This window comes from Homo sapiens, chromosome 10 (assembly GCF_000001405.40).
Source record: "Homo sapiens chromosome 10, GRCh38.p14 Primary Assembly".
NCBI lineage: Eukaryota > Metazoa > Chordata > Mammalia > Primates > Hominidae > Homo > Homo sapiens.
The window spans coordinates 38,381,382-38,405,303 of NC_000010.11; the positions used below are offsets into that span (position 1 = coordinate 38,381,382).

Genomic DNA, 23,922 nt, shown 5'->3' on the forward strand with positions numbered 1-23,922 from the left:
CATAAAATGAGTTGAAGTGTTCTCTCACCTTCTGTATTCTGGAATATTATATAACATTGGTGTTAATTCTTCTTTAAATATTTGGTAGAATTCACCAGTGAAACCATCTGGGCCTGGAGATTTATTTTATGAATCTTTAAAATTATGCATGTAATTGTTAATGATGATAAAACTATTCAGATTTTCTGTTTTATCTTGTGTTTTTGTCATTTGTACTTTTTAAGGAATTGGTCAATTATTTCTAAGTTTTCAAATTTATTAGCATAAAAGTTGCTTGTAGTAGTATTTTCTTTTTAATGGCTACGAGATCTGTAATGATGTTCTGTATTTCGTTCTTGATGTTAATGTCTTCTCTTTTTTAGTTTTTGTCAGTCTTGCTAGGAGTTTCTCAATTTTAATGGTATTTTCCTAAGAACCAACTTTTTGTTTGGTAAATTTTCCCAATTGTTTTCCTATTACCAATTTCACTGATTTCGGCTCAGATCTTTTCTATTTCCTTCCTTCTGCTTGCTTGGATTTATTTTGTTCTTCTTTCTCTACTTTCTTGCTGTAAAAAAATTATTAACTTGAAATTTTTCCTCTTATCATAAGCATTTAGAACTATAAATTTTCTTCTTAGCACTATTCTAGCTGCATGCCAGATTTTTTGACACATTCTTTTTTATTAAGTTGTATATATTTTTATTAACTTCCTTTGATACTTTCTCTTTACTCATGGATTATTTAGAAATATTGTTTAATGTACATATTTTTAGAGATTTTAAAAAACTTGTTATTGATTTCTGACTTTTTTTGTTTTGATTTCCAGTTTTATTCTATTACAGTCAGAGATCACATTCTGTCTGATTTCTATACCGTTAAATTTGTTGAGGTTTGTTTTATGGCCTAGGATAAGGCCTGCTTTGGTGAATGTCTCATGGGCTGTCCTCCACACTGTACCTGCTGTTGTTTCTTCTTCGGAATTCTAAGGTAATTGGTTTTTTTTTTTTTTTTGCCTTTTTTCCACAGTTAATAGTTGTTCTTCAGGAAGGATGGTCTGTAGGTGGGGTACATTGCTATAATTAAAAGCAAGACTTCTCCGCACTTTTTAGTTCCATCTTTATTTCTGTATGATTTTACTTTCTTCTGTTTCTTTCCTGAGTATAATCAGTTTTTGTTTTATTTCTTCCTGTTCTTTGTCCATTTCTGTTTTTAAAATTTTTGATCCATAGTATTTTTTAATATCTCCAAATGCTTGTTTAAGGATATTTAATTCTGTTTCATTGGGTTAGTATTTTCTTCTCCCTTGTAGTTGTTTTCTTGGGCATGGGAGATGGTGGTTATTGTGGTTGTCAGCTCAAACTTTTTTTCCCTCATTTTGTTTGCTTCACTTCTCAGCAAAGTCTTCTGGTCACCCAGTCTAAAATTTCATCATGCCCCTCATATCTTCTAATCTTTCTTATCTACCTTTTTTTTTCCTTTTTGCTGCTTATTACTATCTAACATATGTATTTTACATATCTTGTCTATTGCCTTTCAACCTACCGAAGTATAAGCTCCAAGATGATTGGGACTTTTAAAAAAATTGTTTCGCCACTATTAATGCAAGGCACATAGTAGGCACTCGATTACTGCTTGTTGTATAAATAAATATATGAACAATTGATTAAACAAAGGTTTATTTGAATTAAGGTATCATGAAATGGTGTTTGCAGTACCAAGTCAGAGTTTATTGAGGTTCTGTCTGCTGTCATTGTCATGTTAGAATATTGCCTTGTGCTGATACAATTCCTTCTCATGAAAAACAAAAAACACTAAGAACAACAAGAATGTAGAATGAGTCTTATTCCTACTAATGGAACTCCACGCAATAATCCATGTTTCTTGTCTGCCACCTGAAAATGTGAACAAATTTCATTATCCAACAAGTCTCATTTGCTTATTATTTTTAATAACTATGACAATATACATAAAGGACTGTTGAAAATGGATAGTAATCCACTGGGTTAAAGAGAGCTCATCTCACCATTGCTGGAGGTTATTCCTCACTGTCTCATTTGACTCCTGTTTCAAAGAAGGGAATTATGGGAGGTTTTATAGCAGTTTATAGTGGAAAAGAGAAATTTCAGAGACTCTGGATGTTCAAGAAACATTTTTTGTTAGTGACTCATAAATAGGTTTAAATGTGGGTAGTTGACATAGATGATGCTTTAGATATAGGCTATGCGTGGATTTATTTTCTTTCTTAGGCTAGGAAGTAACTATCCCACCCTGCTGTATTTAACAGTCAAAATGATTCTATATTCTCTATATCTTTGATTGCAAAGTGATCTCTATTTATAACTATCATTTATATTCTACATTTGAAAGAAATATATTCACAAGCACCCAGGAAAAAAATGATTTATTATATATGCCATATGAGTAAGAATTAATTACTTATCATTTATAACAATGTAAAAAATCCTATCCCACACATTAGTTATGAGCCAGGCCGGAGGTATGGGGATTTGAAAAGAGATATGGATGATAGGAGGGAAAGGAAATGAAGGGAGAGTGTTTGAGTTAAGGCAGTAGTTTCCCCCTGCTTGAAACTGGAGGCAACTTCATTCCAGAGAGATCTACAGAGAAGTACAAGTTCTCTGTTATAAGGGGCTAAAAATAAATCACTTTATTCTTGGCCATCAAGGACTTAGTTCCGGCACATGATAGGAATTAGAGCTAGATTTTAAAGTTCAGGGTAGAAGTGGATGAAAAAAAATAGCAAATAATCAGCCACAGATAGAGCTGCCAGATTCTTATTGAGAGAATGGATGAATGGTTGTCCAGGAATAGGGTTATCATGACCAGGCGATGCTTCTCCATGTCCAGAAACTAAAATTTCTACATCAACACAACAAAAATCAAGAAGAAAATGTATGAGTTATTGGAAGTAAAACCAAGGGCTTAATTTGATTAGATCCACCAAACTTATCCTGCCCTGCTTGCTTTGGGTTGTTTGCTTGTTGCTTTTGTTTTTGTTTTTCCCTGAAGCTGAAGGCATGGTAGCTGAAGTCTGCACCACCGAATGCTGTAACTTAACCTTCACTGGCTACTTTACAGATAACATAAGTCACATGGTAGTGGTCACTTCAGTTGTTTTTTAGGAACTTAGGGCAGCTCCTGTCCAGTTCAAACCAGTTGAGACCACGTACCCTTCAACTAGGCATGTGCAGGTACCTGAGAGGGAAACTTTTGATGTCAGAGGCAAAAACTCCATTCTCAGATCATGCTAATGCTGATCTGAGACATATATCCTGTGAAATGCCATGAACCCTGATAATGCTGGCATAGATCACTGATTACCTCATTTTAACCCACTGCCAATCACCTTTCCCTATGCCTTAGACCACCTGCTTCTCTAATCCATAAATATTTCCTATCTTTGGGGAGGCAGATTTGAGAGCTGTTGTCCACCTCCTTGCTGGGATGCCTAATTAATCTTTTCTTTTGCAAAAACCCATTGTCCCAGTAATTTATTTACTGTGCAGGTAGAGTGAACCTGGCTGGTATCAAAAATACACAAAGAGACATCAACAAAATGATAGTATCATGATAACTGTCCTATACATAATACATTTTAATAACTTAAATACATGATTTCTTCAGTCATCTAGAGTTCTGTCTTTCTCTGTTACTTTTAGTAGGTCAGACAATTGTTCAAAGTTTGCAGCAGCTTGAAAGCAAATTCTTCAGTGAAAGGTGCCAGGTCTCTAGAGATAACAAGAAACTAGGTCTTTCTTACGTGGTTCTCATGGAAGTGATGGTGGGAGGGAGAGGCTGCTGGCCTTGCTCCAATGCCTTCAAGCCTTCCTGGAGTTCACCGTTTTTTTCTAGCTGTCATTCCCACATTATGATGAGTGTCAAACCTCCAAGATTAGGACCCTTTTCTGTTTTCCAGAGGGTGAGCTCTTCATGGGACAGCCATACTCCCAAGTTTCCACTCACTTTCTTACGTGACACCTCTGAGTCCAGGAACTTTCACATTGAGCCTTTGGGTCTGGCCCTGGAATAAGACTATTCTTATTTTCAGAGTTAGAGTTGTCAAATACTGATCTCTTGTCTTGAAAGGAGTTGGAGTGGGAGAAGGGTAGGGACTGAGTTCCTCTCAAATAATGAACATTTCTGAATTATCCAAAAATCTAAATGTCAAACAACCAAACAAATTGGTAGTATCAGTGATTTATTCCAAATAATTTTGGGACAAGTGGCTAGTAACCGGGAAAAAAAAAGTTGGAGCCTTCTATCACTGCTGTAGTAGGCAGAATTTAAAATATCCCCCATGACCTTTGCCCAGTTACTCTCATGATTGCATTGTTATGTGGCGCAGTTGTTATTAAAATAGGGAGATTATCCTGGATTATTCAGGTGGGCCACATGAGGCCTTTAAAGCTGTAGAGAAGGAGCAGAAGTTAAGTCAGATCTGCAGCTATAGTAGTGCTCTCCTGTGGACCCTGAAAGAGCAAACTACCTTCTGCAGAAAGGGCTACCTGACGGGATAGTGGGTGACCTCTAAAAGCTGAGGATCCCTCCCTCTGTCTTCCATCCCCACAAAGTTTATAAACTGCAAGAAAGTGGGACTGTGGACCTACCAAGCAAGGAACTGGTTTCTGCAAAGGGTCTAAGTGAACTTGGAAGCTGATTTGACCGAGAGCCTGCCTGGCTTTTATTTAGCCTAGTGGGACCCTGAGCCAGAAATCAGTCAGGCTATGCCAGGCTTCTGACCTACAGAACTCAGATAATAAACGTGTATTGTTTTAAACTGCTAAATTTGTGACAATTTGTTACAGCAGCAATAGAAGACTAATACAATTCTTTACACCCAAATAAATTCCATATGTATCAATGATGAATAAATATGATTACAAAATAATTAAAATTTCCTGTACAATAAATTATCACAAATAAAAATCAAAATTCAAATAACAAGCTGGGAAAATATTTGTAACATAGAAGCCAATTGGATAATTAACCTACTATTTAAATAATGTGCACAAATCAATAGTAAAATTTATTCTCACCCATAGTAAAATGAAATCAAATTAAAAGCACATGAGTTATCACCTTTTTGCTTATCATATTATCAAACACCAAAAAGTTTTGTTCAGGGTGTGAAAGAACAGGCACTTTCATTTCATATTGTTTGTGATGTAAATTGTTAATTCCTTTGAAAAGCAATTTGACAATACCAAAATTTTAAATGCACATACCTTTAATAATTCTACATTTTAAAATTTATCCTAAAGATACAACTCATTAATGTACCTAAAGATATTTATACAGGACTTCCATCACTTATGCAAAATGTGTACTAACCGTGCTTTAGAATTTAAAATTGCTTAGAGTTTAGAAAGATAAGTTGGTGCATACAATACAGTATGTTTTGCAATAATTCTACTGGGACCTGGGATAACAACCTGCAATCAAACCTAGCTATATGTTAGCAAAAAAGATACATGAATTCACATTAAGTAGTAGAAGTAAAGATGATAAATAGCCTCACCTCAGTACAGCTATAGTTCAGCTGCCAAATGAGTGTGCCAAAAATTTGAAAAGACTAAATTTTCATAGCTGTTTGGACTTTAGAATAGTGGGTAAAGGATTTTAGATCTGTACAAGAACAATTCATTGCAGCATTTTTTTCCTGTAATTTTCATGGAAATTTAGATAGTATCTGTCTCCTAATAGAAAATAGCACTTGAAAGTGACATTGAAAATGGCATTTGAAGGGTTGATATAATTCAGACTACTTTGGTTAATGTTTCTGTTCCTTTAATAAGCTCCAATGGAGATCAGAAATAAGAACATTTTGAATGTTTTTTTCTACATTATTTTTTCTGGTCATTTGCCCAGTTAGATGATGGAGTATGGATCATACTTAGGAGAATATGTGCAGTTTGCTGAAGTGTTCTAAGTTCTTCACTCATCCATATGGCTAATTAACCCAAACTTGGGCAGAGGTATTAAGTGATTTCCTTCTCAAGAAAAAGTCAAGGGTATTAATGTTTCACTACCCTCTGGTTGTTTTTTGCTCCCTCCCTTTTAACTTTCTTTGAAAGATGATTTGAAGGTGTTTTCATCCATTTTGTGTTGCTATAACAGAATATCTGAGACTGGGTAGTTTATAAAGAACAGAAACTTATTTGAGACTGGATAATTTATAAAGAACAGAAATTTATTTCTCACAATTGTGAAGGCTAGGATGTACAAGATCAAGGTGCTGGCATCTGGTGGGGACCTTCTTGCTGTACCATTTCATGGCAGAAGGTGGAAGGGCAAAAGAGGACCAGTCCTGTCTGTGAAGTCCCTTTATAAGGCCATTTAATACAATTCAAAAGGGAGGAGCCCAGTGGTTTAAATACCTCTTAAAGGCCCCACCAACAGTGGGGCCAACAATACTATCACATTGGCCATTTAGTTATGTTTAGTTTTGTTTTGAGACAGAGTCTCACTCTGTTGCCCAAGCTGGGGTGCAGTGGTGCCATCTTGGCTCATTGCAACCTCTGCCTCCTGAGTAGATGGGATTACAGGCCTGCACTACCACACCCGGCTAATTTTTGTATTTTTATTAGAGGTGAGGTTTCACCATGTTGGCCAGGCTGGTCTCAAACTCCTGACCTTAGGTGATCCGCCCGCCTTGGCCTCCTAAAGTACTGGGATTACAGTCATGACCCACCAAGCGCGGCTGGCCATTTAGTTTTAACACCTGAATTTTGGAGGGAACATCTTCAAACTATAGCAGAGGGAGTGTGGAGATACACAATTTTGTAGGCTTATTAAGGAAACTGATAAATTATGGTTCCTCTTGAGGAAAGAGTACATGCTACCAACCTAAAAGGAAGAGGCTGATGCACAAAATATAATTTGAAGAGTTTACTTGAGCCAAAGTGAGGGCAGCTGCCCAGAAGACTTAACTAACCTTGGATATGAGCTCCCTTCAGCCTTTGTTACAAACAGGCTTTTAAAGGCAAAAAGGGTGACAGAGTAGGCTGATACAAAGTTGTTTGTCAGGAATTCTGTTTGGTTTGCAGAAATAACATTGATAAGTGATTGGCTATTTTTTTTTGGTGTGGTATTTTAAATGTCATTTTCTTTTTTTAAAAATGTACTTTAAATTCTGGGATACATGTGCAGAACATGCAGGTTTGTTACATAGATATACACATGATTGGCTGTATGTTTTTAAGCTATAGGATGTGGGTTATAGTGTCCAGTGTGACATTATTAGGTTAATGTACAGCTGTTTATGGCAATAGTAAGCGGTTTCAAGAGATGAATACATAGCTTAAAGTGGGGAGTTACAACATGATTGCTGTCTCATTTTCATGCCCTCCCCAGCCTGATAATTTAAAAGGACTTGCCTTCCTCAGATGAAAGAACTTTGCTTTCTTCAGTGCAAAGTAACTATATAACAAAATATAAAATAACTGCATAATAACCATATAACCATGAGGAACAAAATATAACAAAACATCAGCAACAGAAAACATTTAGTTCACATGTGTATTACATTCTGGTTGAATTTTTTCCCTCTGTCCCTTTAGATTTATATTGGCTAGTCTTTTCGTCAACAAATTTAGTTTTTAAATCTTGTTTTTAAGCAATAGAAAATCCTTTATCATTTCTAGAAGATAAACCCACAGCAGAGAGAAAAGACTATTTAGCCTCAAATTCTACAGCATTATAAACAACTACAGGGAAAATGACAAATTTTTTTTTGTATGTATGTATGTATGTATTTCTAAGGGAAAAAATCCTTCTGTATAAAACTCACTGGATGACACCAATTTTTCTAAAAGTGGGAATCAATACTAGAAGGATAAAACACCATTTTAAAATTCATGTTCCAAGTCAGTATTTTACTTTAATAACAGTTACAAAATAGTGAACAACGCACATGAAGCGATAATAGCCGAAATCATATATCAGCCATGCATGCAGTTCATACTTGGTAGAGGGAGGTAGGAGGCACTGAAAGTGCACTGTTGGACGAATTTATAATCACTCTAAAAACAAAACCCTCTAAAAAGGGAACCTAGGGACTACCCAGACAAGATGGAAAGGCTCTGATTCATTTATTAGACTGCATAGAATTTCAGTCTGTAGTGAGCAGGGTACCTGGAACTCTATACATAAAATTCTGTGTCATATTCTTTTTTTTTTTGAGATGGAGTTTCACTCTTGTTGCCCAGGCTGGAGTGCAATGGTGTGATCTCAGCTCACCGCAACCTCCATCTCCCAGGTTCAAGCAACTGTCCTGACTCAGCCTCCCTAGTCGCTGGGATTACAGGCATGCGCCACCACGGCCAGCTAATTTTGTATTTTTAGTAGACACGGGGTTGCTCCATGTTGGTCAGGCTGGTCTCGAACTCTCGACCTCAGGTGATCCGCCTGCCTCAGCCTCTCAAAGTGCTGGGATTACAGGTGTGAGCCACCGCGCCCAGCCTCGTATTCTTTCACTTAATCCACAATATCATGTACCAATGGGCAAAACTTTGCTCCATTTCTAAAAATAGTTAAACTGAGAAATTATTCAAAGGTACATTTTTATATATAAGATATAGCAATTTTAAACATCTTACCCCTTGTGATGAATAAGAAATGGCACAAAGCCACTACATATCATTTGAATATAAAACTTTTTTTCTTTTAAAACAGCTCTCATTTCCCATGCAATTTTAAGAAATAAAATTTTCCCCAAGGGGATGGCAGGAATGTGATTTCATGAGAATTACTATAGTTGGAGAGAGTCCAGAAAATCTAAAATAATAAAATTGGTTATAAGCTGACAAATTTTATTGACTTAACTGCAGGTTAAGATTTCACTCTGCTGGCTTTCAGAAAAAGGCCCTGACAAGTTAAATGAGAATGATTTAAAAATATAAGTTCAAAAAGCTACACAAATACTTATAAAAGGTTATACAGTGTGTTGTATTTTTGAGATGACTTTTTTTCGAGCCTGTTAAGTCAAAGAGTCAGTTTAGTGATTTAAATATGTAAACTGAGAACACCATAAAATGATGGACTGGATTAAGAAAATGTGGCACATCTACACCATGGAATACTATGCAGCCATAAAAAAGGATGAGTTCATGTCCTTTGCAGGGACATGGATGAAGCTGGAAACCATCATTCTGAGCAAACTATCGCAAGGACAGAAACCCAAACACCGCATAGGTGTTTCTCACTCATAGGTGGGAATTGAACAATGAGAACACTTGGACACAGGGCAGGAAATATCATACACTAGGGCCTGTCGTGGCGTGGGGGATGGGGGAGGGATAGTATTAGGAGAAATACCTAATGTAAGTGACCAGTTAATGGGTGCAGCAAACAAACATGGCACATGTATACATATGTAACAAACCTGCACATTGTGAACATATACCGTAGAACTTAAAGTATACTACTACTACTACTACTAATAAAAACTGAAATTACCTCAACAAAAGGCAATGCCAGGTAGTTACAAACATGTACTACCCAATCCTGCCTGAAGGTGGGAGTCTTCAGTTATGTAATGGTTTAGGGCACAGCAAAAAAAAAAAAAAAAAAAAAAACAAGAGTATTAGACGTAAAAGAAGAAACATTTTTACCCCACTCCAATATGACAGTGCAAAAATATAAGTATATAATTAAGGCTCCCTTATCCATCTAGAGTGATAATGGGCATTGACCCATCTATAAAAACAAACAAAAAAAAGAGAGCGAGAAGCCAAAAATGGAAGAGAAAGGTATACCTGAAGGAATTGGTTTACTCTACTGTAACGTTTGAGTGTTAGATAACTTAATGCTATGTAGCCTGATGCTACTACAGTTCTTTTGGTGGAGAGATGGTGGAGTTACAATCACCAGGTGGCTGAATTATGTATGCTGAGTTACTTACCCAAAGGAAAAGACTGAGGAAGAATAATTGGAAAAATCTGCAGTTACAAATGACACATATATGTACTCAAAATGAAAGGGGAAGTACAAAGAACAAAAAAGGGAGTACAGGCTAACTATAACAAACAGAAAGAACAATCACATCAGATTAATGTCTAGATTCTTAGGTCTTATGTCCTAATAAACAAAAGGTTAGTACTGACAACATGATACTTAAACGACATGTCTATGACAGCTAAGGTGAAACAGAAGCCAAACAGATTTCTTGCAGAAAGAAATGGCACAAGAAAACATTGGCATGCAAGTGCTTTTGATAACCATCTCTTATGAGACATAATAAATAGTATCTCTGGATTTATTTTGAATATGTCTAACTGGTTTGGCTGCTTCTCTTTATTTGGTAGTTCAACGTGAAAGCTAAATTTGCCACATTGAGACCTCAAACCATGGTGGCAACACTGTTTATTTCCATGAAGCAGGGAAAATCCTTATGAATAAGAACTAAGGAGTAAAAGCACTGTTAGCTTACACAGGACTTAAAAAGGCTTTTCAACTAAGACATTTCTACATGAAATTTGGTACTTAATAATGGGTATAGTTGTATGTACTTCACAAACTTAAAGATTACTCAAATATGCACATAAAGGTAACAGTAAGCAACAACAACAAAAAGGAATCAGAAGTATCAGGTTACTGACCCATGTCCTGAAGGAGCAATGAAGTATAAACAACACTGCACCCTGTTACCAGGCATCTGACATCTGTTCACTCGCGATTCTGCATTTAGGTAGTCCTCAAATTTACTATCAATATAATTGATAGCAGGCTGCCAGCTATAGAATGCAAATAAACAAAACAATTAAGTTGCAATACTACATATGAATTAACTGATGACTGTTAAAGGACAATAATCAATATTTTCAAATAGGCAAAATGAATTAACCAATGGAAGATATGTCAAGTTATTCTATATAAAGATTCAAAAATATAAATTGTGTTGAATAAATCTTTATTCATTATTTCAAAACTTTCCAAATGAAAGAAAATATTTATTGTTGAAACACAGCTAAATTATTAGCATACTATTGGCACTAGTAAGTGTATTAATAACACACTTCATAATATGAAAACAATTATATTCAGTTTCAAATTTCAAAGGAGAGATTACTTAAATAATATAAAAACTTCATGATGAACTTAGGAGTTTTAAGAGTTGACAGAAAAATACCTCAAAAACAATGTAAATTCAAACAAAATTAAAGTTATTTATAAAATACTAAGATAATTACTTCAGACTAAAATTTCATAGTTTTCTTCACTTAGGACTTATGGAAAAACTGAAGGTCTAAATATCAGGTTTAAATTAGGATTGAGATAGAATTTATACAAATGGATAAAATTAAAGCAAACCGTTTTAAATTTCTTACAATAATGAGAATTCTTCTATCTAGCTACGTTATTTTGGAATATGTCTTAAAAACAATTTTATGATAGGTATTATCTCCATTTTATCAAAAAGTAAATGGGTTCAAATAAGTTAAACTTCTTTGTTTAACTTTGAATTTAAACTTTGTCAAATAAGTGGCAAAGTTGGTATACAAACCTGTCATGTTACTTGAAGTTTGGTGACCTTTGCTAAGAAGAGTTTTAAAATGTTAAGAAGAGAAAGTTTAACCACCCCAGTACCCCAAATACACTGGAAAGTTGTGAGGACAAATCCTTTTTACCAATTACTATTATCCACTGCATCTCCAAATCCTGGGGTATCAACTATTGTAAGCAGCAACTGAACACCACCTTCTTTGATTAAAACTTTGGATTGTTCCATCTATAAGAGTAATTGGTGCAGATGTTAATATCATACATTACACCAGTGATTTCTTACCAGGGGTGATGGTAGGGATGTTTGAGTTTATCTACCTACTCCCACATTTTCTTTAGGATCAATGATTGTGGGCATTGGGAATCCAGATTATTTGAAAGAAAAGCATATATACAAATAGTGTGCCAATCTCTTGGCAAATTAATACTGGGTTTATGAGTCATACTTGGTATAAAGAAAGACAGAGGAACTGATAAAATTCTGATCACCACTAAAGACATGTAATACATAACTTAAATGTGCATCTAATAATACAATTAAGCAGTTTGAGTGATTCAGTCATTCACAGAGTTCAAATGTAATTAACCAGGCAAGAACATTTAATCTACCGTTTATAGTAAATGTCTTCCTGGACTATTCTCTATCAAGTTTGGCCCAAACCACTCACTCAAATGAACTTACTATCATTCCTAAATCTTTCTCAGCATGGATGTAATTACCCTTATATTTATGTTATGGCTAGGATCCAATCCTCTTCTCAAATGCGATACTCCACATTCCGGAAAATGTAATCAGCAAAGGTCCAGACAGTTAATAAAAAAAAGTGTATTCTGGTAGGGTGAAATCTTACTGATTATTGGACTTAAATGATAACAACAGTTCCTGGAACAATTTAAGATATTCTGTAACCTCAAGCTCTGTATCAGGAGATGTATTATCATTCATCCTGGGCATATGCTGCTGTTAAATGCAAAGTATCAGTTTTCAGGAGCCCAAGATAAAGCAAACATGGATTCAAATAAAAAGGGAATAATTCCTTCATAAGATAGGCTTTCTCCTGATACACATTTATATCAAGTCCTTTTTAAGGCAAGAGGCTCCAAGTATGCTGATAAGCTAATTTACAAGACAAAAAGTTTGGGACACTTTTAGAGATAGCCTATTTCCTTTTGGCATGTTTTATAGATGCTACCTAATGCATGAAGAGACTAACATGCGGAGACTAAGATTGCTGAGCAAGAAAAGTCTGTAGCCACACTATCCAATAACACTTTCTGAGATGATGGAATTGTTGTGTATCCACACTGTCCAATATGGTAGCCACTTGCCCATGTGGCTACTTATTCCTTAAAATCTGACTAGTGCAAATAAGGAACTGATATTTAATTTTATTTAATTTGAATTAACTTAAATAGCCACATGTGGCTAGTGACTACTGAATACACAGCAGAGGTCTATAGCAATCAAGAGTTTTCTGTTAAAAGAATTTTATTATCAAGAATAAAACTTATAAAACTGAAAAAAATTGCCTGAGATGTGGACATGCATGACTTATCTTTTAGAGAAATGAGATGCCAAAGTCTTATCTTTTAGATTAATGTTCTTCAAACTGCTTTGATCCTGATACAAACTATCAGTGAAAATTTTGCAGATCCAAAAGATATTTACCCACCAAATATATACTATTGGCAATCTGAATATTAAGTATTAATATGTATTATCATTTATCTGTAGATTAAAAGTAAACATCAATAAATAAGAGTTGTAATAGTTTCTGATCATTCTCAGTATCAGTGATGGATGCATATCATTTAGAAGATCACTGTTACATACCACATAACTAAGATAACATGTCTATTATCAGGTTACCCTAATAACATGAGAGAGGCAAAATGACTCAGAGAAAACAATCAGATTCATCAGTGTGAAATCATGAGAACCAAAGGAAAAAAAATTTTTTTTTTTAGTCAGGGTCTCACTCTGTTGCCCAGGCTGGAGTGCATGGTAGATCATAGCTTACTGCAGCTTCAAACTCCTGGGTTCAAGCAATCTTCCCATTTCAGCCTCCCAAAGTGCTGGGTCAAAAAAAATTTTTAACGATATCATCTTATCTGGTTTAGGAAGTTTACATTTTCTTTATCTGGTGATCTTCTAGTCAAAGGACAACCCAGTCAAATCTAACATCTCAATATCTTGAATTCACCTCCATCTCCTTTATAAAGACAGATCATTTATTCATGGTAACTGTGGCTGAAGTAGAAATATCCACAGTAATTATACCACTCCTTTACCCACTTACTCTTTTAAACAACATAGTACTGTATTCTAGAAAGAGATACAAAAATATAGTTAATTTACATGAATCATCTCCCAATTTTACTTAAAAATATTTCTGGTTCCTTTATTACCAAATGAAGCCCATTCTACCTTCAGTAATATGCTGTATAACAAATACACATTTTAACCTAACAGCTTAAATTTTAAGATATTTCCCTGTTTAAAAAAAAAATCAGTTCAACAACTTAATTACTTATTGACTTGCTAAGACAAATGAAGATTTGTATTTTACACACATAAGGAATGTTTATAAAGCTTCTTTTCTTTTCTGGCCTATGAAATTCTGTATGTCCATACATGGTCAAATACAAAGAAGTCAGCGACATATGGAAGAGATCCAGAAAACATAACTGCAAACTAGTGCCATTCACAGGATCCAACTGGACCCTATCATCTGCTTTTACAAGTATCCTCATGGGATCCATGGAAAACAAATTAGTTCAAGTCTAAGAATTTCAGACTTTCCCTAACAAATCTATTCCAAATGGCCACTTTCCCATGCACTTTCCTTAAGCAGGCCACATCAACATCTTTTATGGCATCACTCAGGGTTCTCTAAGATTAGCTGCATAATTTAATAACAAAAAAATGAATCAAGAACATTTTCAAATGTTTTTCCCTGAAAAATAAATAAACTAAAACTATCATCTATGAATCATCTATGTATAATTCATCTATTGAGACCTCTTTTGGCATCCGAGATTCCAGAAACCAAAGGTACTCATTTTCTAATACTGAGTGTATACAGTATACAAGAGTATTAGTATACTGAGTTTTCAGTTTTACAATCTGAGGAAAAAAAGTCAAACAATGTTGATTATACAGCTTCATATACACTAACCTTTTCTAACTTAATGTTTACATGCCATTTATTAAGGTAAATTAAGAAGTTATTTAATTAAGCATATAACATTTTGAAGAGAGGGTTAAAATTTTCTGTCAAGAACTTACCTCTACCTACACTTGCTCAAGAGGTAGCATTACAGCCAAAACTCTGAAGACATTGGAATGGCCTGAGATACTCCACTTAGCTCAAACACAAAAACTATCTATTTCCCTTATTTATTGGCTCAAAAGACAAATATCATCTTAAATGTTTCATGGTGTTCCACAAGAAAATGAAAGAGGAAGTAACCAATAGTAGAACAGTTATGCCTGAAGAATACTTCCTTCTCATGAAGACCCAGGACTACTTTACTAAGAAGAAAGTTGATCCCAAAACTCTAATTTGGCTTTCTATTCTGAACCTCTCCACTCCTCATATCCCTGTCTCCTTATTGAGACCTCAAATCCCTTGCCCCTCTCATTTTCTATTAGCAACCTCCTTCCCAAAACCTTTATTTCTTTCCCTTTCCAACTCAATTCCCATTCTGGATTAACCCATCTTTCTATTCCTATACCATAAAATTCATGACCTTCAACCTCAAAAAGAATTTCTCTGCTAATATTCCTCTTATGTGCTCCTTAGTCTCATGCCTCTCCCATTCCCTAATAGGCTCTTCCCAAGCCCGTGCCTGTCACAATGCTCAGTGAAGTACCTCACATCACCACTTAAAAATGAGACCATTCCCAGTCTGTCTGAATCAGCACTGTACCTTCCATGGTACAGTGTGTGTGAAATTTATCTTTTTCCTAAAGCTAATTTCTCAATCTATTCTAGGGAACTGATTAATTTCCATTTTAGATTCATCTTGACAACCGTTTACACTATTTCCCCTATATCTTCAAGACTACTGGGCTTGGTAAGGAGCCAGCCAACTATTAAAAAGATTACATTCTCATTTTCTAACTATATTCAGGCTTCTTGAATGACTCTGACCCTGTCCGTAATATGGCATGTTCTTTCCTAACTGGGCACAAGAGTTTAGATTATCTTCAGCTAGTTTTCAGTATATAAAGGAATACACCTCCATGGTTCAATCAGGAAAGAGGACTTCTACAGGATTCTACTAAGGATCAATCTGGTTCTCAAATGTTACAGGTCTTCTTTTTGGCACAGAAAAGATATTTAACAGTGGTGCACAGGCCTGTCTTAAAAATCCTACTAGAGATATTCTCACCTCCATTACCCCTTTGTTTTCAAGATAAAGAGAGTTTCCGGGAAGATATTCACAACAGAAGAGGATATTTTTGAAGTGTTACTTTAAAGGAAGGTAAAATGGGTTTAGGCAACTTATTTTGAAGCTAAGCCAATGTAAGAATTCTAAAATAAATTGAGGGCATGTCACATCTTTAACAGATGCTCACCTGGGGAGAAAATGTCTGCAATATCTAAAATGTAGGGGATTATTAGATTTTTCAAACTCTTATAAATCAGCAAGAAAATGACAGAAAATATTAAGATTACCAAAAGACTTTAATGAAATCTGAACAGTTATTGAGTACAAAAGACATGTTCAACCTCACTAGAAATCAAATAAACTCAAATACCTTTATATCTTTATGCACACACAACAGCAATGAGTGCCTAAGTCTACTAAGACATGCACAAGAATGTTCCCGTTAGTAAAAAACTGAAAACCCAAAGGCTTATCTACAATAAATAATAAAGGATATACTGATACATTCACACAATGGAGTATTATACGACGATGAAAAAAACAACTACACCCAACATGAGTAAATAATACAGACAGAATCTTCACTGAAAGAAAACAGATACAAAAAAGTATACGTATATAACGTTCAAGAACAGGCAAATTTATGGAGAAGGCATTCAGTAAGGTGTTTATCTTTGGGGGTTGTAATACTGAATGCGAGTGAGCACATGGAAGAAACTAGGGTTCTGGAAATGAACTGTATATTAATTTGGATAGTGCTTAGTTTTACCTTTCATATCTAAATTCATAAATACTTAAGTGAAGGTATTCATAATAGATACCCAAATTAAGAAAGTTCAAAGTTCATTTTCTTGCTTAGGTTTAAAATTTCCAATATTTATCACAAAATAAATAAGCAGGTAGGATCAAGTTTTTAGAGTAGAATTTTGCAGGTAATTTTAAATCTCAAGCCCTATGAAGGTTACTAAAAAAAAAAAAATTCCTAAAATAGAAACATTAAAAAGGAGAAATAAGATATTTACTTCACAAAATTACTCCTTTGGGGTCTTGCAGTATGATATATATGAGTTACTGCTCAGAATATATAGACTGTCCTCCTATCCTGTGCACTGGGATGATCACTACCACTTCTTCAAATCCAGCTAAAAGCATCATGGCCTCAATGAAGCCTACTCCAGCCAGAACTGTTCATGTGCCTCCTCTCTGCTCATGTCCTATATATTACCTAAGCAGAGCTCACCAACAATATTTTTCATCAACAGCTTAGAGCAGCGCTGCCAAATAAAAATACCATGTCGGTCATGTAAGTAATTTAAAATTTTCTTAGTAGCCACTTTTAAAATAGGAAAAAGGTGAAATCAGTCAATTTTATTTAACCCGATACATCCAAAATATCACTGCAGTATACAATCAATATAAAAAATTACGGAGATTTTCTTTTCCATGCTCAGTCTTAGAAATCTGTGGCATATTTTATATTTGCAGAACATCACAATTCAGACTACCCACATTTCAAAGATTAATAGCCACATGTGGCTACAGGCTGCTGTACTATTTAATAAAAAGTGCATATCTAGAGTCTAGCCCCTTGCTTTATAAAGTGTGATCTACCATCCAGCAGCATCAGCATCACCTGGGATCTTGTTAGAAATGTAGAAAGGCAGCCCATCTCAGAACTACTAGAAGAAATAAATTTAACAGGATACCCAGGATTGGAATGCATAGCAAAGACTGAGAAGCAGTAAATTAAATCACATATAGCTTGGGAGTCTTACCGAATTGCTATTGCCATTCAACTATGATATGGTATTATCCCACTGACTAATATGGAACACTGTATTTAAATAACAATAGTTTTTCTATGAATCATGTTTTCTCTACACTGTCCAATGCAATTTTCTACAATGATGAAAATCTTCACATATGTGCTGCACAAAATGGCAGCCACTTGCCACAGGTGGCTGTTGAGCACTTGAAATGTATCTGGAGCAAATGAGAAATTGCATTTTAATTTAATTAATTTTAATTGATTTAAACATGTGGCAAATGACTATCATACTACATAGCACAACTCCAGGGGAATTGGTTACTATGTCACAGTGTCATCTCTAGGAGAATCCTTAGGACAAATTTGGAAAGTTCTAGTCAAGATAATTCTTTTGATTAACTGTACTTCTTCTGTTTTTTTAATTTTATGAAGTCATATTTACCATCTTACACTGGCTAAGGGCAAATTTGCATCTTACCTCTAAGGAAGCATAATAAAAGTTACAACACATGCTTTGTGTGTATTAATATTATTCCAGCTTATCATCAATTAAAAATACCAATATCTAGACCTGTACAGGTTTTTTAATTCTCTGAGAAGGACCTGGATACTCTGGAGAATACAAATCTGTGAGGAATAATGAGTTGATTAATGTCAACTTTCCCAGTCCAGATTCGTCTAAAAGAAATAAGGGAAAATATCTGTTAAACTCACCCACTTTACCCAACCTTAAATATTCAACAGATGCTGTAATTGAACTTGCTTTATGCAAGTATTTCTTGGTGAGACAATGAAATGACATTAGAAAATATGCTACAAAGAATAAGTATCTTGTCCTCAGTTTCTTAGCTATCAAATTAAACTCACGTTTCCAAGGATTCTTTTCAGCCTTCTAATTATACCACTTATATTCATTAAAAGTAATGTATCTAATAATTACATTTTTAACAGTAATGTATTCCCAAAGAAAAAAGTCAGTCATTATTTAAAAATCCAAGTTGGATTATATATCACTGCTTCAGTGAAATAAAGTTTTTCTTTATTAATAGACAATAATGAATGAATAATAAACAAGAAATCATGCAGCTATAAAAAGCAAAAATCTGCTAATACAAAGAATAATTAATCACAATGAACATCTCTGTATAAAATTCAAAATCACAAAAAATACTTTCTAATTTCGCCGCCCATCAGCCTAAATATAAGGGTGATTCTCCACAAACCAGAATCCAAAAAAATCTTAGGTAATTACTTTTTCTACCACTTCTACTCAAGGTAGGAGGTAGACACGAAGGAAGCTAGGGCATGATTTCTACTCTGACCACATACTCTTTTTTGACTCTCCGTGTTTAGTCCAATATACATAGTCCAGTGTATAGTAATTATTACAAGTATACCAAAATATAAATGGCTTCAAGGTATATATAACCTAAGGTTAAAACAAATTATAAATCAGATTATGATAATTAACATGGCACAGAGTTAAAGTATTTATTGTTAATAACTCACTTAGCATAATAGGCATGTTTAGCCTAAGTAACTGGTGTCACAATATTTTTATGCCTAGGAGGAATTCTTTTTATATAGCTCTCAAAAGAGATAAGATTCTCTCCACGTGGTTTGGGCTTACTCCTTTGACTGAGAGCATGCCACTTTTTACTAGAGGTTGATGTATGACTCAACTTAGAGTTGAGGATGAAAAGTGGGGATCATAGCACCTGCCTATACCCTGGTACAGATCATATGATGTTGATTTATTTATTTGTGGAGTCAGGGTCTCGCTGTGTTGCCCAGGCTGGAGTGCAGTGGTACGATCATGGCTCACTGCAGCCTTGAACTCCTGGGTGTGGTGGTGCACACCTGTTGTCCCAGCAACTCTGGCAGGCTGAGGCAGGAGAATCGCTTGAACTCAGGAGGTGGAGGTTGCAGTGAGCCGAGATTATGCCACTACACTCCAGCCTGGAGACAAAGTAAGACTCCATCTCAGGAAAAAAAAAATTTAATTTAAAAAGTTCTAGTATCTAAAATGAGCAAAATCGCCAGGCATGGTGGGTCACACTTGTAATCCCAGCACTTTGGGATGCAGAAGTGGGTGGACCATCCGAAGTCAGAGGTTGAGACCAGCCTGCAGTGAGCCGAGATTGCACCACTGCACTCCAGCCTGGGAGACAGAGTGAGACTCCATTTCAAAAAAATTAGCCAAGCGTGGTAGCATGCACCTGTAGTCCTAGCTACCGGGGAGGCTGACAGGGAAGGATTCCTTGAGCCCGAAGGTCAAGGCTGCAGTGAGCCTTGTTTGCACCACCTCACTCCAACCTGGGCAAGACCCCATCTCAAAAAAGAAAAAAAAAACACAAAAACAAAAAACAAAACAGAACAGAACAGCATCACTTCCTTATCATTAGTTTGAAGGAAGTGAATTGCCTGTAAAATTTTCCATTTTCAAAAAAAGTATTAAAATATAGTGTAAAGCCAGTCACGATGGCTGTAATCTCAGCACTTTGGGAGGCTGAAATGGATTGCCCCTGGAGGTCAAGGCTGCAGCTGACCGATCCTCCTGCCTAAGCCCGGCAAGTAGCGGAGACTACAAGTGCGTGCCACCATGCCCAGCTAATTTTTTGTATTTTTGTAGAGACAGGGTTCCACCATGTTGCCCAAACTAGTCTGGAATTCCTGAGCTCAAGCGATCCACCTGCTTCCGCCACCGCCTCTGCCTCCCAAAATGCTGGGATTACGGGCGTGAGCCACCGGGCCTGGCACAATTACTTTCTTCAGTCTGAGCATGAGTGCTGGAAGAAAAGCTCTCACTTATATATAATTTTTTAGAGACAGAGTCTCCCTCTGTTACACGGGCTGGAGTGCAATGGCGCAATCTCAGCTCACTGTAACCTCAACCTCCAGTGCTTGATCGCTTATATAATCTCAGCTCACTGTAATCTCAACCTCCTGGGCTCGATCGCATATATATACACACATATATTTGTTTGTTTAGACGGAGTCTTGGTCTGTTGCCCAGGCTGGAGTGCAGTGGCGCGATCTCCGCTCACTGCAACCTCCGCATCCCGGGTTCAAACAATTCTCTGCCTCAGCCTCCCGAGTAGCTGGGATTACAGGCACCTGCCACCACGCCCGACTAATTTTTGTGTTTTTAGTAGAGACGGGGTTTCAGTGAAACCATGCTGGCCAGGCTGGTCTTGAACTCCTCTCCTCGCGATCCCGCCTCGACCTCCCAAAGTGCTGGGATTACAGGCGTGGGCCACCTCGCCCAGCCGACAGATTATATTTTCAAAAAGATGTTTTCTTTGTTTCCTAGCCCCTTCTACCCCGCTACAAAGTTTCAAAGACTTAATGCTATTACAAAGGGCCGTCAGAGGTCAAGCTCAGGGTTGCAGCTCCCTCATGCCGGGCAGCCTCAGAGGGGCCGACCCTACCCAGGATGAGCAGCGCCAGATAGCCGGGGACGCTCCCGGGGATCCACGGGCCCTGGCTGGGGGAGGCGTTGTGGGGCGCACGTACACAGGCTCAAGTGAGGCGAGTGGGCGGCCGGGGCTGCAGCTGGTGCTGGCCATTGAGGAGCTTCTGCGCGACAGTGCGATCGGTTGCACCTTCTGCGACAGGTGCCGGCCGGTTGGCGCGCAGCGCCTGCTAGCGCAGAGTCTGGCCCTTGCTGCGCCCGGCCCCGAAGACCGGGAAGTCGTAAAGCTCCTCATCGCAGCTTATGTGTGGCGGCGGCCGGGCCGAAGCCTAGCGACACAGAACTGCCAGCTCAGCAGCCGGTTACATCTCGCCCGGCAACCCATAGGCAGCGTCCGCTCATGCGCGCTCCTGGAAGACCCAGCAGCCCCGCCATGAGTTCCGATTGGCTCCGCGTGAGTGGCGGTCCCCTGTGACGTCGCAAGGGCGCGCCTTCCGCGGCGCCGCAAGGGCGCGCCTTCCGCGGCGCCGCAAGGGCGCGCCTTCCGCGGCGCCGCAAGGGCGCGCCTTCCGCGGCGCCGCAAGGGCGCGCCTTCCCCGGCGCCGCAAGGGCGCGCCTTCCCCGGCGCCGCACGGGCGCGCCTTCCCCGGCGCCGCACGGGCGCGCCTTCCCCGGCGCCGCAAGGGCGCGCCTTCGCCGACACCATAGAGGTGGGCCTTTGGCGAGTCACAGGCGCGGGTGTTCGGCTACGTCACTGGGGCGCTACGGTGCCTGGAGCTGGGCAGTCTTCTCGTCAGAGTGGGGACTGGTAAGAGCGACCTCACCGCCAGGTCCTGTGTGTTGCCGGCTGAAGAAGGGTAGCTGAAAAATTCAGACCCAGCACAGTGTTTATGTTGGTCAAAAATAGAAAACTATGTCTGCCGCGGCCGAGGCAGGAGGACCCTTCAGGCCAAGAGCAGCCTAGCAACATGGCGCAACCCCATCTCTGTAGTCCTACCTCAGCCCCCCAGCTACTTGAACCCAAAGGTTCAAGGCTCCAGTGAGCTATGATCCCACCACAGCATTCCAGCCTGCGAGATTGAGGTAAACCGTGTCTAAAAAAATTAAAAAAACTATCCAAGTGTGCAACAGGGAGGGACTGCTAAATAAAACATGAGGCTGGCTGGGCCCTACTGTAATCCCAGCACTTTGGGAGGCCAAAGCGGGAGGATGGATGGCTTGGGCTCAGGAGTTCGAGACCAGCCTGGGCAACATGACGAAACCCCGTCTCTACAAAAGATACAAAAATTAGCCGGGTGCTGTGTGCACCTGGCCTAATTTTTGTATTTTTTTCTAGAGATGGGGTGGGCGGGGGGTCTCGCTATGTTGCCCGGGCCAGTTTCGAACTCCTGAGTTGTAGCGATCTTCTCAGCTTGGCCATCAGAGTTGTCGGGATTACAGGCGTGAGGGACAGCGCCCCACCTGGGTTAGGCTACTTAATAACATAAGAAAGTGCTCCGCCAGGCTCAGTGGCTGACACTTGTAATCCCAACACTTTGGGAGGCCAAGGCAGGTGGATCACCTGAGGTCAGGAGTTGGAGACCAGCCTGGCCATGGTGAAACCCAGTCTCTACAAAAAATACAAAAATTAGCCGGCCGTGGTGGCGCATGCCTGTAGTCCCAGCTACTTGGGAGGCTGATAAAGGAGAATTACTTGAACCCGGGAGGCGGAGGTTGCATTGGGCTGAGATCGCACTACTGCACCCCAGCCTGGGCAACACAGCGAGACTCCAAAGTTTGACACCAGCCTGGGCAATGTAGTGACACCCTGTCTCTACAAAACAAACAAAAACCCAGGCATAACTGTGTCCACCTGTGGCCCTAGCTAGTTAGGAGGCTGAGGCAGGAGGATCACTTGAGTCCAGGAGCTCAAGGCTGCAGTGAGCTATGATAATCCCACTGCTTCCCATCCTGAGCAATAGAATGAAAGCATGTCTCTAGCTAGCTAGCTAGCTAGATAATTGATATGTAGTTTTGTATCAAATTTTTTCCCTAGATTTGAGCATGTTTTTCTAAAGTAGCATTCAACACATCAGCATTTTACAGTGTTATTATTTGTTAATATGATTATGTTTTTCTGAAATACAGTGTCCTTTACAAAAGCAGTTTTGTCGTTCAAAGCACATAGATAAGGCCCTCAAGTGAATTTGTCTGATGTTGGCGACCTTGGTACCATTTTGTCCACTTGATTGGAAAAGCCAGTCAATAATTTCAGGTCACTGTTGGCCTTAGAAGAAGAGCCCAAAGGCAACAAGCAAAGGCGCTGGTGTCCAGTCACCTTCTAGAAGCATTTTCACTTTCCCTTAAGGTTTCCCTTGATGAACATAGAAGTACTGTATGTAGAATTGACCCAGTGCTGCCCTGGCAACTTTGTATATTAGGCCAAATTTACATTTCTTACCTTTATGAGAGGCACCCTGGTAGGCTAGTGGAGTTACCCACAAAGTCTGATCTCAGCTGCACTGTCCAGAGATGCAACACGGTCCAATCAAATAACATTCTCTGAGCCCGTTTCTTTAGCTGTGAAAGAAGAATAACATACCCATCTAAAAAGGCAGCTTATTGTATTTGATTGGTCTTTTATTTTCTATGAAACTGTGTTTAACACAGTAATTATTTTCATTTGTGTACTACATTTGTGTTGTGTTTTTGGTTTTAGTTTTGTTTTTGAAATGGAGTCTTTTTTTTAGTGGTTTTTTGTTTTGTTTTGTTTTGTTTTTGAGATGGAGTCTTTCTGTTGTCACCCAGGCTAGAGTGCAGTGGCGTGATCTCCGCTCACTGCAACCTCCACCTCCCA

At 38.1% G+C, this 23,922-nt stretch overlaps 1 long non-coding RNA gene and 1 pseudogene across 11 annotated transcripts in view, besides 3 other annotated features; one reads left to right on the forward strand and one right to left on the reverse strand.

Annotated features, from left to right (window-relative positions):
- Nucleotides 1-1,641: 1,641 nt before the first annotated feature.
- Nucleotides 1,642-21,546, reverse strand: SEPTIN7P9 (septin 7 pseudogene 9; annotated as a pseudogene). 2 transcript variants are annotated; one of them, NR_027269.2, is made up of 4 exons: nt 21,188-21,546; nt 10,602-10,736; nt 9,460-9,525; nt 1,642-1,874 (listed from the first exon to the last, which is right to left on the reverse strand). The product of NR_027269.2 is annotated as a septin 7 pseudogene 9, transcript variant 1 (transcript). The 2 variants fall into 2 exon arrangements; NR_148868.1 differs by lacking the exon at nt 9,460-9,525.
- Nucleotides 20,686-21,557: an enhancer, noted in NCBI's record as "NANOG-H3K27ac-H3K4me1 hESC enhancer chr10:38690995-38691866 (GRCh37/hg19 assembly coordinates)". NCBI's record gives its function as "activates a minimal SCP1, AML or CMV promoter by ChIP-STARR-seq in primed H9 embryonic stem cells {active_cell/tissue: H9 hESC(primed)}" and the evidence as "EXISTENCE:reporter gene assay evidence [ECO:0000049][PMID:30033119]".
- Nucleotides 21,558-22,429: an enhancer, noted in NCBI's record as "NANOG-H3K27ac-H3K4me1 hESC enhancer chr10:38691867-38692738 (GRCh37/hg19 assembly coordinates)". NCBI's record gives its function as "activates a minimal SCP1, AML or CMV promoter by ChIP-STARR-seq in primed H9 embryonic stem cells {active_cell/tissue: H9 hESC(primed)}" and the evidence as "EXISTENCE:reporter gene assay evidence [ECO:0000049][PMID:30033119]".
- Nucleotides 21,784-23,922, forward strand: part of LOC101929540 (uncharacterized) — a 32,174-nt gene continuing 30,035 nt past the window's right edge. For 8 of the 9 annotated variants that reach the window (XR_007062117.1, XR_007062122.1, XR_007062119.1 and 5 more), the window contains exon 1: nt 21,784-22,169. This is a non-coding gene — a long non-coding RNA (uncharacterized LOC101929540). The remainder of the gene's footprint in view (nt 22,170-23,922) is intronic. The other variant, XR_002957070.2, reaches the window with a different exon arrangement.
- Nucleotides 21,873-22,122: an enhancer, noted in NCBI's record as "active region_3275". NCBI's record gives its function as "activates an Ori minimal core promoter by ATAC-STARR-seq in GM12878 lymphoblastoid cells {active_cell/tissue: GM12878}" and the evidence as "EXISTENCE:reporter gene assay evidence [ECO:0000049][PMID:35858748]".